Source organism: Homo sapiens, chromosome 7 (assembly GCF_000001405.40).
Source record: "Homo sapiens chromosome 7, GRCh38.p14 Primary Assembly".
Taxonomy (NCBI): Eukaryota; Metazoa; Chordata; class Mammalia; order Primates; family Hominidae; genus Homo; species Homo sapiens.
The window spans coordinates 102,998,025-103,016,241 of record NC_000007.14 but is presented as its reverse complement, the minus strand read 5'-3'; the positions used below and the strand labels follow the sequence as shown (position 1 = coordinate 103,016,241).

The window sequence follows — 18,217 nt, the reverse complement described above, 5'->3', positions numbered from 1 at the left end:
TGATGTCTCCAGCATTGTTCTTTTCACTTAGGATTACCTTGGCTATTTGGACCCTTTTGTGGTTCCATATGAATTTTAAAATAGTTTTTTTCTAATTCTGTGAAAAATGTCATTGGTAGTTTGATAAGAATAGCATTGAATCTGTAAATTGCTTTGGGCAGTATGGCCATTTTAACAATATTGATTCTTCCTATCCATGAGCATGGATTGTTTATCCATTTGTTTGTGTCATCTCTGTTTTCTTTCTTGCAGTGTTTTGTAAATCTTGTTGTAGAGGTCTTTCACCTCCTTGGTTATAGCTGGTTAGAGCTGTATTCCTGTTTATTTTATTCTTTTTTGTGGCTATTGTGAATGAAATTGAATTCTTAATTTGGCTCACAGTGTGTATGTTGTTGGTGTATAGGAATACTACTGATTTTTGTACATTGCTTTTTTTTTTTTTTTGAGATGAGAGTCTCACTCTGTTACCCAGGCTGGAGTGCAGTGGTGTGACTTGGACTTACTGCAACCTCTGCTTCCCGGGTTCAAGCAATTCTCATGCCTCAACCACCCAAATAACTGGAATTACAGGCATGGGCCACCAAACCCAGCTAGTTTTTGTATTTTTAGTAGAGACGGGGTTTAGCTATATTGGCCAGGCTGGTCCAAACTCCTGGTCTCAAGTGATCTACCTGCCTCAGCCTCCCAAAGTGCTGGGATTACCGCCATGAGCCACTGTGCACAGCTAGTACAGTGATTTTGTATCCTGAAACTTTGTTGAAGTTGTTTGTCAGATCAAAGAACTTTTGGGCAGAGACTGTGGGGTTTTCTAGGTATAGAATCATATTGTCTGCAAACAGGGAGTTTGACTTTCTCTCTTCCTTTGAGCATCTTTTATTTCTTTCTATTGCCTGATTTCTCTTGCTAGGACTTTCAGTACTGTGTTGAATAGGAGTGATGAGAGAGGGCATCCTTGTCTTGTTCTGGTTTTCAAGGGGAATGCCTTCAGCTTTTGCCCATTCAGTAGGATGTTGGCTGTGGGTTTTTCATAAATGGCTCTTATTATTTGAGGTATGTTCCTTCAGTGCCTAGTTTCTTGAGGGTTTTTAACATGAAGAGATGTTGAATTTTATTGAAAGCCTTTTCTGCATCTATTGAGATGATTGTGTGGTTGTTTTTAGTTCTGTTTTTGTGGTGTATCACATTTATTGATTTGCATGTGTTGAACCAACCTTGCATCTTAGGGAGGAAGCCTACTTGACCATGGTGGAAAAGCTTTTTGATGTGCTGCTGGATTCAGTTTGCTAGTATTTTCTTTTTTTTTTTTTTTTTTTTTTTTTTGAGACGGAGTCTCCCTGTCGCCCAGGCTGGAGTGCAGTGGCGTGATCTCGGCTCACTGCAGGCTCCGCCCCCCGGGGTTCATGCCATTCTCCTGCCTCAGCCTCCCAAGTAGCTGGGACTACAGGCGCCCGCTACCTTGCCCGGCTAATTTTTTGTATTTTTAGTAGAGACGGGGTTTCACTGTGTTAGCCAGGATGGTCTCGATCTCCTGACCTCATGATCCACCCGCCTCGGCCTCCCAAAGTGCTGGGAGTACAGGCGTGAGCCACCGCGCCCGGCCCAGTTTGCTAGTATTTTCTTGAGGATTTTTGCATCCATATTCATCAAGGATATTGGCCTGAAGTTTTCTTTTTCTGTTGTATCTCTGCCAGGTTTTGGTATCAGGATAATGTTGGCCTCATAGAATGAGTTAGGGAGGCATTCCTCCTCCTCAATTTTTTAGAATAATTTCAGTGAGAATGGTACCAGCTCTTCATTATACATCTGATAGAATTCAGCTGTGAATCCATCTGGTCATGGGCTTTTTCTGTTTGGTAGGCTTTTATTACTGATTTGATTTTTTTGTTTGAGACAGGGTCTTGCTCTGTCACCCAGGCTGGAGTGCAGTAGTGTGATCATGGCTCACTGCAGCCTCAACCTCCCAGACTCAAGCAATCCTCCCACCTCAGCCTCCAAGTAGCTGGAACTACAGGCATGTGCCACTATGCCTGGCTAATTTTTGTATTTTTCTGGTATAGAAAGGCCACTATGCCTGGCCTTTTTATAATCTTACTGTCATGACTTATTCATTTGATTTTGGAACTCAATATTAGTCTGTACAGGGATTTAATCTCTTCCTCGTTCAATCTTTGGAGGTTGTATGTTTCCAGGAATTTATCCATTTCTTTTAGGTTTTCTAACTTGTGTGTATAGAAGTGTTCATAATAATCTCTGAGGGTTTTTTGTATTTCTGGGGGGTCAGTGGTAATACACCCTTTGCCATTTCTGATTGTGTTTATTTGGATCTTCTCTGTTTTTTAAAATTAGTTTATCTACCAGTCTACCTTGTATTATTACTTCTTTCAAAGAAAAAGCTCCTGGATTTATTGATTTTTGTATGGTTTTTTTTTGCCTCTTAATTTCCTTTAGTTCGTCTCTGACTTTTGTTATTTTTTGTCTTCTGCTAGTCTTGGGGTTGGTTTGTTCTTGTTTCTCTAATTCCTCTAGTTGTGATATTAGGTTGTTAATCTGAGATATTTCTAACTTTTTGATGTGGGTGTTTAGTGCTATAAACTTCCCTCTTAACAGTGCTTTGGCCGTGTCCCAGAAATTCTGATATCTTGTATCTTTTTTCTCATTAGTTTAAAAGAATTTCTTGATTTCTGCCTTAATTTCATTATTTATCCAGAAGTCATTTAGGAGCAGGTTGTTTAATTTCCATGTAATTGTATGCTTTTGATTGATATTCTTAGCATTAATTTCTATATTTATTGCATTGTCTGTGAGCTTGGTTGGTATGATTTTGGTTTTTGGGAGTTTGCTGAGAATTGTTTTATGTCCAATATGTGTGGTTGATTTTAGAGTATGGGCCATGTGCAGATGTGAAGAATGTATGTTCTGTTGTTTTCAGATGGAAAGTTCTGTAGATTTATATTAGGTATATTTGGTCAAGCATTGAGTTCAGGTCCTGAATACTTGCGTTAGTTTTCTGCCTCGATGATCTGTTCAATAGTGTCAGTGGGGGTATTCAAGGCTCCCACTATTATTGTGTAGTTATCTAAGTCTCTTTGTAGGTCCCTAGGAACTGACTTTATGAATCTGGGTTGAGCGCATAGATATTTATGATAGATAGGTCTTCTTGTTGAATTGAGTCCTTTACCATTATTTAATGCCCTTCTTTATCTTTTCTTGATCTTTGTTGGTTTGAAGTCTGTTTTGTATGGAATTAGAATAGCAGCCCCTGCCTTTTTATGTTTTCTTTTTGCTTGGTAAATTTTTCTCCATCCCTTTACTTTAAGCCTAGAGGTGCCAGTGCATGTGAGATGGGTCTCTTTAAGACAGTATACCATTGGGTTTTGCTTTCCACTCTGTGCCTTTTAAATGGGGGCATTTAGCCCATTTACATTCAAGATTAGTATCGATACATGTGGATTTGATCCCGTCATCATGTTGTTAGCTGGTTGTTATGCAGACTTGTTTGTGTGGCTGCTTTAGAGTATCACTTGTCTATGTACTTAGTGTTTTTTTATAGTGGCTGGTAATGGTCTTTCCTTTCCATATTCAGTGCTTTCTTCAGGACCTCTTGTAAGGCATGTCTGTTGGTAAGAAATTCCCTTAGCATTTGCTTGTCTGAAAAGTATTTTATTTCTCCGTTGTTTAGGAAACAACTTGGCTGCATATGAAGTTCTTGGTTGAAAATTATGTTTTTTAAGAATGCTGAATATAGGCTCCCCCAATCTCTTCTGGCTTGTAGGGTTTCTGCCGACAGGTCTGCTGTTAGCCTGATGGGGTTCTCTTAGCAGATGACCTGCCCTTTCTTTCTAGCTGTCCTTTTTTTTTTTTTTTTTTGAGTTGGAGTTTCACTCTGTCACCCAGGCTGGAGTGCAATGGCACAATCTCGGCTCACTGCAATCTCCGCCTCCTGGGTTCAAGCGATTCTCCTGCCTTAGCCTCCTGAGTAGGTGGGATTACAAGCATGTGCCACCACGCCCGGCTAATTTTGTATTTTTAGTAGTGACGGGGTTTCTCCATGTTGGTCAGGCTAGTCTCGAACTCCTGACCTCAGGTGATCCACCAGCCTCAGCCTCCCAAAGTGCTGGGATTACAGGCGTGAGCCACTGCGCCCGGCCCTAGCTGCCTTTTTTCTTTCATTTTGACCTTGGAGAATCTGATGATTATGTGTCTTGGGATGGCCTTCTTTTGTAGCATTTTTCAGGAGTTCTCTGCATTTCCTGAATTTGAATGTTGTCCTCTCTGCAAGATTGGGGAAATTTTCATGGACGATATCCTGAAATATGTTTTCCAAGGTCCTTGGTTTCTCTCCCTCTCTTTTCTCTTTCAAGGACGCCAGTGAGTCATAGATTTGGTCTGTTTACATAATCCCATATTTCTTGGAGGTTTTGTTCATTCTCCTTTATTGTTTTTTTCTTTATTTTCGTCTGACTGAATTATTTAGGAGAGCCAGTTTTCAACCACTGAGATTCTTTCCTCAGCCTGGTTGATTCTGCTGTTAATACTTACAAGTACATTATTGTGTTTTTCAGCTCTATCAGATCAGTTTGTTTGTTTCTTTTTTTTTTTTTTTTGAGACAGAGTCTTACTCTGTCTCCCAGGCTGGAGTGTAGTGGTGCTATCTTCCCTTACTGCAACCTCTGCCTCCCGGGTTCAAGCGATTCTCCAGCCTCAGCCTCCAGGTAGCTGGGATTACAGGCATGTGCCACCACACCTGGCTAATTTTTTTTGTATTTTTTAGTAGAGATGGGGTTTCACCATGTTGGCCAGGCTGGTCTCGAACTCTTGACCTCAGGTGATCCACCCACCTCGGCCTCCTAAAGTGCTGGGATTACAGGCGTGAGCCACCACGCCTGGCCTGTTTCTTTCTTATAATGGCCATTTGGTCTACCACCTCCAGTATTGTTTTATTGTACTCCTTAGATTTCTTGGATTGGGTTTTAACTATCTCCGGTATATTGATGATCTTCATTCCTATCCTTATTCTTTATTCTACATCTGACATCTCATCCATTTCAGCCTGGTTAAGAATCATTGCTAGGGAACTAGGGCAATTGTTTGGAGGTAAGAAGACACTCTGGCTTTTTGAATTGCCAGAGTTCTTGCACTGGTTCTTTCTCATTTGTGTGGGCCGATGTCTCTTGAATCTTTGAAACTGCTGTCCTTTGGATGGATTTTTTTTTTGCTTTTTTCTTCTTTGATGCCCTTGGGGTTTGATTATAGAATAAGGTGGTCTGTCGACTGGCCTTGATTCTAATCCACTCCTGAATCTTGGAGGACCTCCCACCTCCGATTACTCTCTCCATGCCCATGTTTCTTTTGTTGGGTGTTCGGTTGCACAGGGCTGAATCAGGCAGGGGCTGCAGTTGGCATATAAGCCATATCCTTGCCAGGTCAGCCCTAATCTTCTGTCTGTGTGCTTCCTGGGAAAACATGAGATTGCTGGGGAACACAGATTGTAGAGAGGAATGAAGCTGGGGACCAGCCTGTCTGGGCTCAGCATGGAGCCAGGAGAACCACTGGAACATGGGAAAGAGTGAGTGGGTGGGTGCCCCCAGGGGGATTCATACTCTCCACAGGGACCTATGCAAAACTGGGAATGGCAGAATCACCTTGGCTTCCCCCTAAACCCCCCTACTGCACTATAGACTGAGGTAGAATTCAGGCAGAAGTGGTACTGCTGGGTTGGAAGCTCTAGTGGGTGTGGCCCATCTGGCTATGAGAGGCAAGGGTGGGTGGAGTTGCCCACCCTGCCATCCAGGTGTTTCCAGGGCAATAGGAGTCTGCACTTCTCAGCAGATTCAAGCAGAAGTAGGACTGCTGGTCTGTAGGCTGTAGCAGGCATGGCTTACCTGTCTGCTGGTGGTGGTGGTGGCTGGGGACGCTCACCCTGCCATCTGGGTATTTCCTGGGACAACAGGAAGCTCTGCCCTCTAGCTAAGTTCACATAGGAGTGGGAACACTGGGCTGAAAGCTCTAGCAGGCATTGTCTGCCTGTTTACCAGTGGCGGGGGTGGGTGGGGTTGCACACTCTGCCATCCAGGTATTTCCCGGGACAACAGGAAGCTATGCCCTCCATTCGAGTTCATACAGAAGCAGGGCCACTGGGCTAGAAGCTCTGGCACCCGGTTACCAGTAGTGGGGTGGGCGGGGTCATGGGCTCTGCCTGCCATCCAGGTGTTTCCTGGGCCAACAGGAAGCTATGCCTTCTGGCTCAGTTCACACAGAAGTGGGGCTGCTGGGCTGCAAGCTCTAGCAGGTATTGCCAGCCTGGCTACCAGTGGTGGGGGCAGGTGTCTACTGTCCAGGTGTTTCCTAGGACAGTAGGAGACTGCACTCCCCAGCTGAGTTCACACAAAAGTGGGACCACTGGGTTGCAAGCTCTAGCAAGTGTTGCCCACCGGGCTGCAAGTGGCAGAGTTGGGTTGAGTGGCTGGCTGGCTGGCTCATTAAGGGCTGAAGCAGGACTGCTGGGCTGGAAACTGGTGCCTAGCCCTGTCCAGCAAGGAGGGGTGGAACAATTTTACTGCTTCCAGATACTGCTACTGCAGCCTCTACTGGGGCTATAGTGCTGGTGCTGGTCTGCTCCAGGGCCCAAGCCTTGTAGAGGTCCCCTTGCACTCAGGAGTTGCCCCTCAAAAATGTCTGACTGGCTTTCTGCCTCAGTCTAAAGTGTGATAGCAGGGTGTTGGGGGAAACCAGGGGGATTCTCCCATTCCCAGTCTTGCACAAGTCCTTGTGAACAGTGTGAATCCCCCTGGGGGCTCTCACCCACTCCCCCTTTCTCATGTAGTGGTTCCCCTGGCTCCATGCTGAGCCCAGACAGGCTGGTCCCCAGCTTCATTCCTCTCTGCAATCTGTGTTCCCCTGCTGCCTTGATGGATTGAATGTGGTTTCTCAGATGGTTGGCCTGCAGGGTCAGTGTTCACTAGCCCTTTTGTTTTCTCTCGGTGAGAGTGGCGCACATGAGCTGCTTCTAATTCGCCATCTTGGCCCCTCACCTATTTGTCTTTTTAAATGTCATATTAATATGTCATTCTTAGTTATTTTTCTAAGCCATATCACACTCCTTCCTACACTCATGCAGCTATCTTTTTTTTTCCTGTGAACTCCTATGCCTTTGACTGCTAATGTTCCTTTGTTTATCAGTGACTGCTCTAGGATTTAAAATATGCATTTTAAATACCATGGACTGTCTTCAAATAATGTTATGCCACTTTACATTAAAGGACCTAACAAGAGTATGCTTTTATTTTCTCCCTCCTGTGTATTGTGCTATTATTGTCATTTATTTTGCTTTTATAGATTTATAAACGACAATATAATTTATTTTTGCTTTAAATAATCAATTATAAGCTGGGCGCGGTGGCTCACGCCTGTAATCCCAGCACTTTGGGAGGCCGAGGTGGGCAGATCACCTGAGGTCAGGAGTTTGAGACCAGCCTGCCCAACATGGTGAAACTCTGTCTCTCCTAAAAATACAAAAATTAGCCGGGTGTGTTGGTGTGCACCTATAGTCCCAGCTACTCGGGAGGCTGAGGCAGGAGAATCTCTTGAACCCTGGAGGCGGAGATTGCAGTGAGCTGAGATCGCACCACTGCACTCTAGCCTGGATGACAGAGTGAGTCTCTGTCTCACAAAAGAAAAAAAAAGTCAATTATATTTTATCCAGCATACATTTTTCATTTTTAGCAATCTCAAACTTATAGGAAAGTTGCAAACACAGTACAAAGAATATTTTTTCCTGAATAATTTGAGAGTAAGTTGCCAGCATGATGCCATGAATATTATTGATGTATTTCCTATAAACAGGGCATGCTTTTACAGTTGATCATCAAAATCCTCCCAATTCAGGTGTCTTCAGTTGTCCCAAAATGTTCTAGCAAAAGGACCCTGTCCAGTTCATATGTTGCAATTGGTTGTCGTGTCTCCTTGGCCTCCTCCAGTTTGGAATAGTTCCTCAATCTTTCTTTAATTTTCATAACCTTGACATAAAGATTAGGGATGTTTTATTGTAGAATGTCTCTCAATTTGGGCTTGTTTTATGTATAATATCTGCATGAGTAGACTAATGTTAGGCGTTTTTGTTAGAAAGACCATAGACGTGGTCTCATGGCATCATCTCAGTGGTACAGGACTTGGATTTGGGCAGTTGACTTCTTCTTGGGCTCCATCTATCACCAGCCTTGGGCTCCAATACCCTACAATAAGCCATGCCTCCTCATTGCCTTCCTTTTCCCACTTGGGCTCTGATATTTCACTCTGGGCCATTCCTCGTGGGAGACACTCTCCTCACCCTTCTTGAGCTCGAAACCCTGTGCCAGGATGGCCCACTGATTGGATATCCTTTCCACACTTGTTCTGATATACCTGCCCTGGGCCACTTCAGCTCCTCCCATACCCTTCATCTGGCATGGATGTCTACTCTGCTTGGCCCAATCTAATGACTGTAGAATGTGAACTCTATGGGAAGGAGAAAGGAAAAGGGTAACGGAAGGGGTTCAATTATTTTTTAAAGAAATTAAAACCCCAGAAAAACTTGTTTTATATTTCTCCACAAATTGTTCATTTTTTGTGCTCTTTTTCTTTAGATCTGAGTTTTCATCTGGAGCTATTTTTCTTCAACATAAAGAACCCCCTTTAACATTTCTTGAAGCACAAGTCTGTTAGTGCTAAGTTTTCTCAGTTTTATTTTTCTGAAAAAGCATTTTGCCTGTAGTTATAGAATTCTAGGCTGACAGGTTTTTTTAAGTTTATTCACTCTATTTTAACATATAATTCCATCATCCTCTGGCTAGCATTGCTTTAAATCAGTTAGGGGCTAAATTTTTTTTTTCTGCTTTTGTAAGTAGTGTGTCTTTTTTTCTTCTTGCTTTTAAGATTTCTCTCTTTATCATTGACTTTTCAGCAGTTTGATTATGATGTGCCTTTATGTGATTTTCTTTATGCTTGTCCTATTTGGAGTTCATTGAGCTTCTTGGATCTGTGGGTTTATATTTTTAGCAAATTTAGAAAGTTTTCAGCCATTATTTCCTCAGCTATTTTTCTGTCTCCTTCCTCTTTTTGGGACTCCAGTTATACAAATATTATATAACTTAGATAACTTAATATTGTCCCATAGGTCATTGAGTTTCTGTTCATTTTCTCTTAGCCTTGTTTTTCTTTCTGTGCTTCATTTTGAATAGCGGTTATTGCTATTTCTTCAAGTTTAGTAATTTTTTAAATGCAAGTGTCTGATTTGCTATTAGGCTCTTCCAGTGAACTTTTAAATTACAGATATTGTATTGATCTCTAGAAGTTTCCTTTGGTTCATTTTTAAAATCCCACTTCCCTTCTTTTAAGTTCATTTTTTTCTTTGTATCCTTGAACATTTTTATAATAGCTATTTTAAAGAATCTGTTTACTAGTTCTGTTATCCTTGCAATTTCTCTGTGTGTTTCTATTTTTGGTTTCTCTCTTAGTTATTTGTCACGTTTTCCTGCTTCTTTACAAATCTAGTAATTTTTTATTATATGTTGGATAATCTTATAGGTTATATTGTTGAGTGTCTAAATGTTGTCTTTCTTTGAAGAGAGTTGAATTTTGTTCTGGTAGTCAATTAATTTAGTTGAAGATAAGTTTAATCTTTTCCATTTATATTTAAGCATTTTAAGGGAAAATCTAGAGTAACTTTCACACTAAGGTTAGTTTATCTCTGTTTCTATCATGTGACATTTCTGGGTCTTTATTGAATGCCCCAAGTATTCAATGACACGTCTCCATTTTGGTTTGTTTTAACTTATAAATTTCTCAATCCTGTATGAACTGTACTAGTGACTCAGCTTACAGGTCCCTGGTATATGTTTTGTCCCTGGTAGATATTTTTTGTTCAGCTTCATGGTGTCTCACTCTGTGCATACACAGCTTAGAATACGGTCAAAGACTCAAGAAGATCCATATGTGTATTTCTCAAGCTCTTATTCTGTGTAGCTCCCACTTTTCTGCCCTAAAATTCCAGCAGCCTCAACAAACTTGAACTCCAAGATCTGTCTTCTTGGCTTAGTGAGACTATCTGGCACCGCTTCTATCATAAGTAGCTAATATACGCCCCCAAGTAGTAAACCTGGGCTATCATAGATCTTGTGTCATTTTTTTCCCTTCTTTTGGAGATCACAATACTGTGCTGCCTTGTTATCCACATCTGAAAGCAGTTGTTTCATATATTTTTTCCATTTTTAATATTTTATATTGGGAAGGATAGCCTGGTACCAGTTACCTTGTGGGTGACTGTTTATAGTTTTCTGAACTTGCATGGTAGCCAACTTTAGCCATAATAGTTTCTGACTGTCCTTCTATGGGTCTCTTCTTTTTTTTTCAGTTTCTTACAGAGTCTGTCTAAACTCTTATTCTGAACTGAATGTTGTGTCCCCTCAAAATTCACATGTTGAATCCCTGGTCCTCAATGTACTATATTTGAAGATAGGGCCTGTGGAGAGTTGATGAAAAATTAAATGAGGTCAAAAGGGTGAGGCTCTAATCCAGTAGAACTGGCGCCCTTTTAAGAAGAGAAAGAAACACCAGAGCTCTCTCTCTGCCATATGAGGATGCAATGAGAAGGTGGCTTTCTGCAAATCAGGAAGAGGGCCCACAGCAAGAAAGGAATTGACCAGTTTCTTTATTTTGGACTTCATAGCTTCCAGAACTGTGAGATATGTTTCTGTTGCTTAAGCAATCCAGTCTATGGTATTTTTTTTTTATGGCAGCCTAAGCAGACTAAAACAACTCTTTAATTTTCATCATGCTAAATCCTCCTCTTCACTGCTCTTTGCCTTTACTTTCCGTCCTTGTTCACTGAGAAAATATATGCCATCAGGTAGGAACTCCTTCAGCCTTCTTTCTTACCTCCTTCCTCAATCCTGTTTTTCTGATGTCCCTACCCTCTTTTCAAATGTACCTTCCTCTGTACCTACTTTTGCTTCCTTTTCTGTTCTCAAGAAATTTTGCCTATATAATGTGCAGTATTTACATCAGATGCTTTTATTTAATTTCTGCCATAGGTAGTGATATTATCTACTTTTGGGCCATTATTAATATCAGTTCTGAGTAAATGAAGTGTAGTTGACAGAAAGCTGTATAATTAACTTTAAATACAAGATTATTTGTCAATATAATTTTTGTTGCCTCTTAACCAAGGTACTCAGTTGTTGACCTATACTGAGTCATACCTGGAGGTCTAGGACTATGTTCCTTGATTTACAGGCATATGTAAAATATTTATCAAGTAAGTGAATATATCATAAGATTTAAGAAATTAACAAGTTAGTTGAAGGAGTAACGTCTCCAAACTGGCAGAGTAGAACCAGTCTGGCCTTCACTCTCCCCCTCTGAAAATGAGCACCAGGATTATCACCATCAGTATCCCAGAACTCAAGTCTGAGGCTGAGTTGATTCCTGGGTGTACAAAGAAATGAAAAACTCTCAGCAGACAGTAAGAGAAATGGACTGCTCTGTGATGCACTCCTCTCATTTACCAGGGACCATGCAGAAAATTCCTCTGCAACTCAATTTCCACACTGGAAAAAGTGAAATTGAGGCAGCCAGCCAGCCTCCCCACTGTCTTGAGTTTCTTTGCAGGAAAACTGTTCTTGTGAAGGAACAAGAAGCATAGTGAGTGCCTGTAGGGAGAAAAACCCCTGAGAGCAGTTAGAGACAAAGAGCAACCCCAGCCCTTGAAATTCTTCTCTTTATCTTAGCCAAAGGAGACACTAAATCAGAGTGTCTGTTCAGCAGCACCATGCTGTAAGAGGCACACTCCATGGGTCCTCTGGGCACAAACCTCTAGCCAGTGTTCTTCTCACACAGTTGGACTGTTCCCTCTGGGGCCTCCTCCGCCAGCCTATGATGGGCAACACTCTGAATGTTTGTGAGAACTGAGGCAAACCTGGATGGACTTACAGCACCACTAGTGCTGAAAAGGAGGTAGCAATCCAGCATTAATGGAACTCAGCAGGCAAACTGCAAAGAACCTCCAAACAACCATATCTTAGAAAAAGCAGAACAAGCTAGACAGCAAGACTGAAATAAATTACTAATTCTTCAGTGCAAAGCCACAGGTATACATTCATAAAAACAGCAAACAGGGAAGCATGATCTTCCCAAACAGACAAAGCAAGGAGCTAGTGATTGATAGTAATAAGATGGTAATGTGTGAGCTTTCACACTGAGAATTCAAAATAACAGTTCTAAGAAAACTCAGTGAACTCCAAGATAACACACAAAAGCAATTTATAAATTTATCAGAGAAATGTAACAAGGAGATTAAAAACTTTTTAGTGTTTTAAAAACTCAAACAGAAGAGATGGGCATGGTGGCTCAGGCCTGTAATCCCAGCACTTTAGGAGGTCAAGGCGGGTGGATTACCTTAGGTCAGAAGTTTGAGACTGGCCTGGCCAACATGGTAAAACCCCATCTCTACTAAATAAAAAAATTAGCCAGGTGTTGCACACGCCTGTAATCCCAGCTACTTAGGAGGCTGAGGTACAAGAATCACTTGGACCCAGGAGGCAGAGGTTGCAGTGAGCCGAGATCATGCCACTGCATTCCAGTCTGGGCCACAGAGTGAGACTCTGTCTCAAAACAAACAAAAATGGCCAGGTGCAAGGGCTCACACCTGTAATCCCAGCACTTTGGGAGGCCAAGGCAGGTGGATCACGAGGTCAGCAGTTTGAGACCAGCCTGACCAACATGGTGAAACCCTGTCTCTACTAAAAATGTAAAAATTAGCCAGTATGGTGGCGTGCACCTGTAATCCCAGCTACTCAGGAGGCTGAGGCAGGAGAATTGCTTGAACCCAGGAGGTGGAGGTTGCAGTGAGCCGAGATCACACCACTGCACTCCAGCCTGGGCAAGAGAGTGAGAGTCTGTCTCAAAAAAAAAAAAAAAAAAAAAAAAAAACCCCAAAACAACAACAACAACAACAAACACACTTAAACAGAAATCCTGGAACTGAGAAATGCATTTGCTGAGCTAAAAAATGCATTAGAGGCTCTCAATAGCAGAATGGATCAAGCAGAGAAAAGAATCAGTGAGTTCAAAGACAGGCAATGTGAAAATATGCAAAGGAAAAGAAAGAATTAAAGAAAGAAAAGGAATGAAGAATGCCTACAAGATATAGAGAATAACCTCTAAAGAGCAAATCTAAGAGTGGTTGGCATTCAAAGGGAGTTGAGAAAGAGCAATGGTTAGAAAGATTATTTAAAGAAATAATAACAGAAAACTTTTGAAACCTAGAGAAAGATATAAATATCTGAGTCAGGAAGGTCAGAGATCACCAAATAGATTCAACACAATTAAGACTACCCCAAGACATGTAATAAACTCTTAAAGGTCAGGGTCAAAGAGGATTCTAAAAGCAGCAAGAAAAAAGAAGGAAATAACCATAAAAGAGGTCTGATTTGTCTGGAAACAGCAAACAGTGGAAACCGTATAGGCCAGGAGGGAGTGGGACAACATGTTCAAATTGCTGAAGTAGAAAAACTGCTAAATGAGAATACTACATTCAACAAAGCTTTCTTTCAAATATGTAGGAGAGATAGTCTTTCCCAGGCAAACAAAAGCTTAAAGAATTCATCAACACCAAAGGCATCTTAACAAGAAATGCTAAAGGGAGTTCTTCAATCTGAAAGAAAAGTACACTAATGTGCAAAAAGAAAACAGTTGAAGGTATAGAACTCACTGGCAAAAGTAAGTATTCAGACAAATTCAAAATCTTCTAATAGTGTGTCATGGTGTATAATCAACTCATCTCTAGTATGAAGCCTAAAAAATAAATCTATTGAAAATAATAACTATAGCAACTTGTTAAGATATAGACAATATAAAATTATGTGAATTCAGACAACAAAAAAAAGTGGTAGATTGAGTTAAAGTGTAGAGTTTTAAAGTTTTTTACTTTGTTTCTTTGTGATCAAAATTCAGTTGTAATCTGTTTAAAAAAACTTGCCATTTCTATAAGATTTTTTTTGTAATTCTCATGGTAATGACACAACTAAAACCTGTAATAGATACACTCAAAATAAAGAGCAATGAATTCAAACATTACCACCAGAGAAAAGTAAGTATTCAGACAAAGCACAAAGGAAGACAGTAAAAAAGGAAGAAAGGAGAGGAGTTTCAAAACAACCAGAAGACAAGTAACAGAATGGCAGTAGTCAGTCCTTACCTATTGTATTAGTTAGGGCCCTCCAGTGGGACCGAACCAATAGGATATATGGATATATAAAAGGGAGTTTATTAGGGAGAACTGGTTCTCATGATTACAAGTCCCACAATAGGCTATCTGCAAGCTGGGGAAAGAGAGAAGCTAATAGTGTCTCAGTCCAAGTCCAAAAGCCTCAGAACTAGGGAAGCTGACAGTACAGCCCTCATTCTGTGGCCAAAGGCCCAAGAGCCCCCAGGAAGCCACTGGTGAAATTCCCGGAGTCCAAAGGCCAAAGTACCTGGAGTCTGATGTCCAAGGGCAGGAAGAGAGGAAGCAAGTGTCCAGCAGGGAAGAAGAAAGAGAACCACAAGATGCAGCAAACAAATTTATCCCACCTCCTTCTGCCTGCTTTGTTCTAGCTATGCTGGCAGCCAATAGGATGTGACCCACATTGAGGGTGAGTCTTCCTCACCCAGTCCACTGAAACAAATATCAATCTCCCCTGGCAACACTCTCACAAACACAATTAGAAACAATACTTTACCAGTCGTCTAGGCATCCCTCAATCCAGTCAAGTTGACACCTAATATTAACCATCGTACCTATCAATAATAACATTTAATATAAATGGACTAAATTCTCCAATTAAAAGACAATGAGTGGCTGAATAGATTTTTGTTTTAAAGACCCAGATATATACTGCCTACAAGAAACCTATTTCACATATAGGCACATATAGACTGAAGGCAAAGTGATAGGAAAAGATATTCCAGGCCAGGCATTGTGGCTCAAGCCAGTAACCCTAGCACTTTGGGATGCTGAGGCAGGTGGATCACTTGAACCTGGGAGTTTGAGACCAGCCTGGGCAACATGGTGAAACCCTGTCTCTACAAAAAAAAAATCAAAAAAAAATATATATATAGAACTGGGTGTGGTGGGATGTGCCTGTAGTCCCAGCTACTCAGGAGGCTGAGGTGGGAGGATTGGTTGATCCCAGGAGGTTGAGGCTTCAGTGAGCCATGATTGTGCCACTGCACTCCAGCCTGGGTAACAGAGTGAGACCCTGTCCAAAAACAACAGCAACGACAAAACAATATTTCACGTAATTGGAAACCAAAAAAGAGCAGGAGTAGCTATGCTTATATCAGATATAATAGATGCAAGTCAAAGACTGTAAAAAGAGACAAAGAAGGTCACTGTATAATGATATAGGAGCAACTCAGTAAGAAGATATAACAATTGTAAATATATGTGCATCCAATATTGGAGCATTCAGATATGTAAAGCAAACATTAATAGATCTAAAGGGAGAGCTAGATTGCAATACAATAATAGTAGGGGACTTCAACACCCCACTCTGAGTAATGGACAAATCATGCCGACAGAAAATCAACAAAGGAACATTGGAGTGATATTATGCCCTAGACCAATGGACCTAACTGACATTTACAGAACATTTCATCTCACTGCTGCAGAATATACAATGTTTTCTTTAGCATGTAAAGCATTCTCCAGGATAGACCATATGTTAGGACATAAACCAAGTCTCAACAAATTCAGAAACTTGACATTAAATCAAGTATCTTTTCTGATCACAATGGAATAAAACTAGAAATAAACAACAAAAGCAACTTTGGTTTTTTATTGTTTTTTAAAAATTCATTCATTGTTTTTTAATTGAAAAAATAGAGTAAGGGTCTTGCTCTGTTGGCCAGACTGGTCTCTAACTCCTGTATTAGCAATCCTCCTGCCTTGGCCTTTCAAAGTGTTGGGATTGGATTACAGGTGTGAGCCACCATGCCCAGCCTGAACATGACTTTGGAAACTATACAAACACATGGAAATTGACCAACATACTCCTGAGTAATTAATTGGTCAGTGAAGAAATTAAGATGAAAATTTTTAAATATCTTAAGTTAAAAAAATGAAAATAAAAACACACCAAAACAACATACCAAAATCTATGGGATACAGCAAAATCAGAGCTAAGAGGGAAGTTTATAGCAATAAATGCCTATATCAAAAAAATAGAAACATTTCAAATAAATAACCTAATGATCCACCTCAAGAAACTGGAAAATCAAGAACAAACCAAACCCCAAATTAGTAAAAGACAGGAAATAATGAAGATCAGGGCAGAAATAAATTAAGACTGAAAAAATGCAAATGATCAACACAATAAAAAGTTGTTTTTTTGAAAAGATAAAATGGGCAAATCTTTAGTTAGACTAAGAAAAAAAGAAGACCCAAATAAAATCAGAGACAAAACATGAGACATTGCAACTGATACCACAGAGATACCAAGGATCATTAGAGAGTATTGTGAACATCTATGCCAACAAATTGGAAAACATAGAAGAAATGGATACATTCCTAGATACATGAAGCCTATCAAGATTGAACCATGAAGAAATAGAAAACCCAAATACACCCATAGCAAGTAATGAGATTAAAGCAGTAATATAAAGTGACCCATTAAAGGAAAGCCAGACCTGATGGCTTCACTGCTGACTTCTACCAAATATTTAAAGAATAATTAATACCAATTCTATTGAAACTATTCCAAGAAATTGAAGAGGAGGGAATATTTTCAAACTTGTTCTATGAGGCCAGCATTATCCCGATACTAAAACCAGACAAGGGGACAACATGAAAACCACAGGCTAATATCCCTGATTAATATAGATGCAAAAATCTTCGATAAAATACTAGCAAACAGAATACAACAACATGGTAAAAAGATCATTCTCCATGATCAAGTAGGATTCATCCCAGGGATGCAAAGATGGTTCAACATACACAAATAAATAAACATAATACATCTCATCAACAAAATCAAAGACAACCGTATGAACATTTCAATAGATGCTGAAAAAGCATTTAATAAAATTCAACATGCTTTTATGATAAAAAAAAAACCCTCAACAATTTGGGTATAGAAGGAACAAACCTCAAAAAATAAAGACTGTATATGGTGAACCCACAACTAACGTCGTACTGAATGAAGAAAAATTGAAAGCCTTTCCTCTAAGATTAGGAATAAGGCAAGGATGCCCACTTTCACCACTTTTATTCAACATAGTACTGGAAGTCCTAGCCAGAGCAACTACGTGAAAGAAAGAAAGGGTATCCAAATTGGGAAGGAGGAAGTCAAATTATTCTTGTTCACAGAGGACATGATATTATATTTTTAATTTTAATTATTATTATTATTGTTATTATTTTATTTGTAGAGATGGAGTTTTGCCATGTCACCCAGGCTAGTCTCGAATTCCTGGGCTCAAACAATCCTCCTGCCTCAGCCTCCCAAAGTGCTGGGATTACAGGCAGGAGCCACTGCGCCCAACCTAATATTATATTTAGAAAAACGTAAAGACTCCACCAAAAAACTGTTAGAACTGATAATCAAATTCAGTAAAGTTGCAGGATAAAAAAATCGGCATATTAAAATCGGTAGCATTTATATATGCCAACAGCAAATAATTTTGAAAAGAAATCAAGAAAGCAATCCCATTTACAATAGTTGCAAAAAATATAAAATATCTAGGAATAAATTTAACCAAAGAAGTGAAAGGTCACTAGAAGGAAGACTGAAACACTGATGAAAGAAGTTGAAGAGAACACACAAAAAATGGAAAGATAGCCCATGCTCATGGATTAGAAAACAGTCAACAAAGTGAAGAGGCCACCAACAGAATAGGAGAAAATATTTGCAAACTGCCCATCTGAAAAGGGATTAATAACCCAAATATATAAGGAACTTAATAGCAAAGAGAACATAAAAAGAACAAATAATTTGATTTTGAAATAGGCAAAAGATCTGAATAGACATTTCTCAAAAAATGACATTCAAATGGCCAAAAAGTATATGAAAACATGTTCAACATCACGAATCATCAGGGAAATGCGTACCAAAAGCACAATGAGATATCATCCTTTATCAGAAAGACAAAAAATAACATGCTTATGAGGATGCAGAGAAAGGGGAACATTCATACACTGTTGGTG

The 18,217-nt window shown here is 40.2% G+C and overlaps 1 protein-coding gene across 18 annotated transcripts in view; it reads left to right on the top strand.

Annotated features, from left to right (window-relative positions):
• FBXL13 (F-box and leucine rich repeat protein 13) overlaps nt 1–18,217 on the top strand; it is a 263,608-nt gene that overhangs the window by 58,555 nt on the left and 186,836 nt on the right. The gene's annotated exons all lie outside the window — the stretch shown is intronic.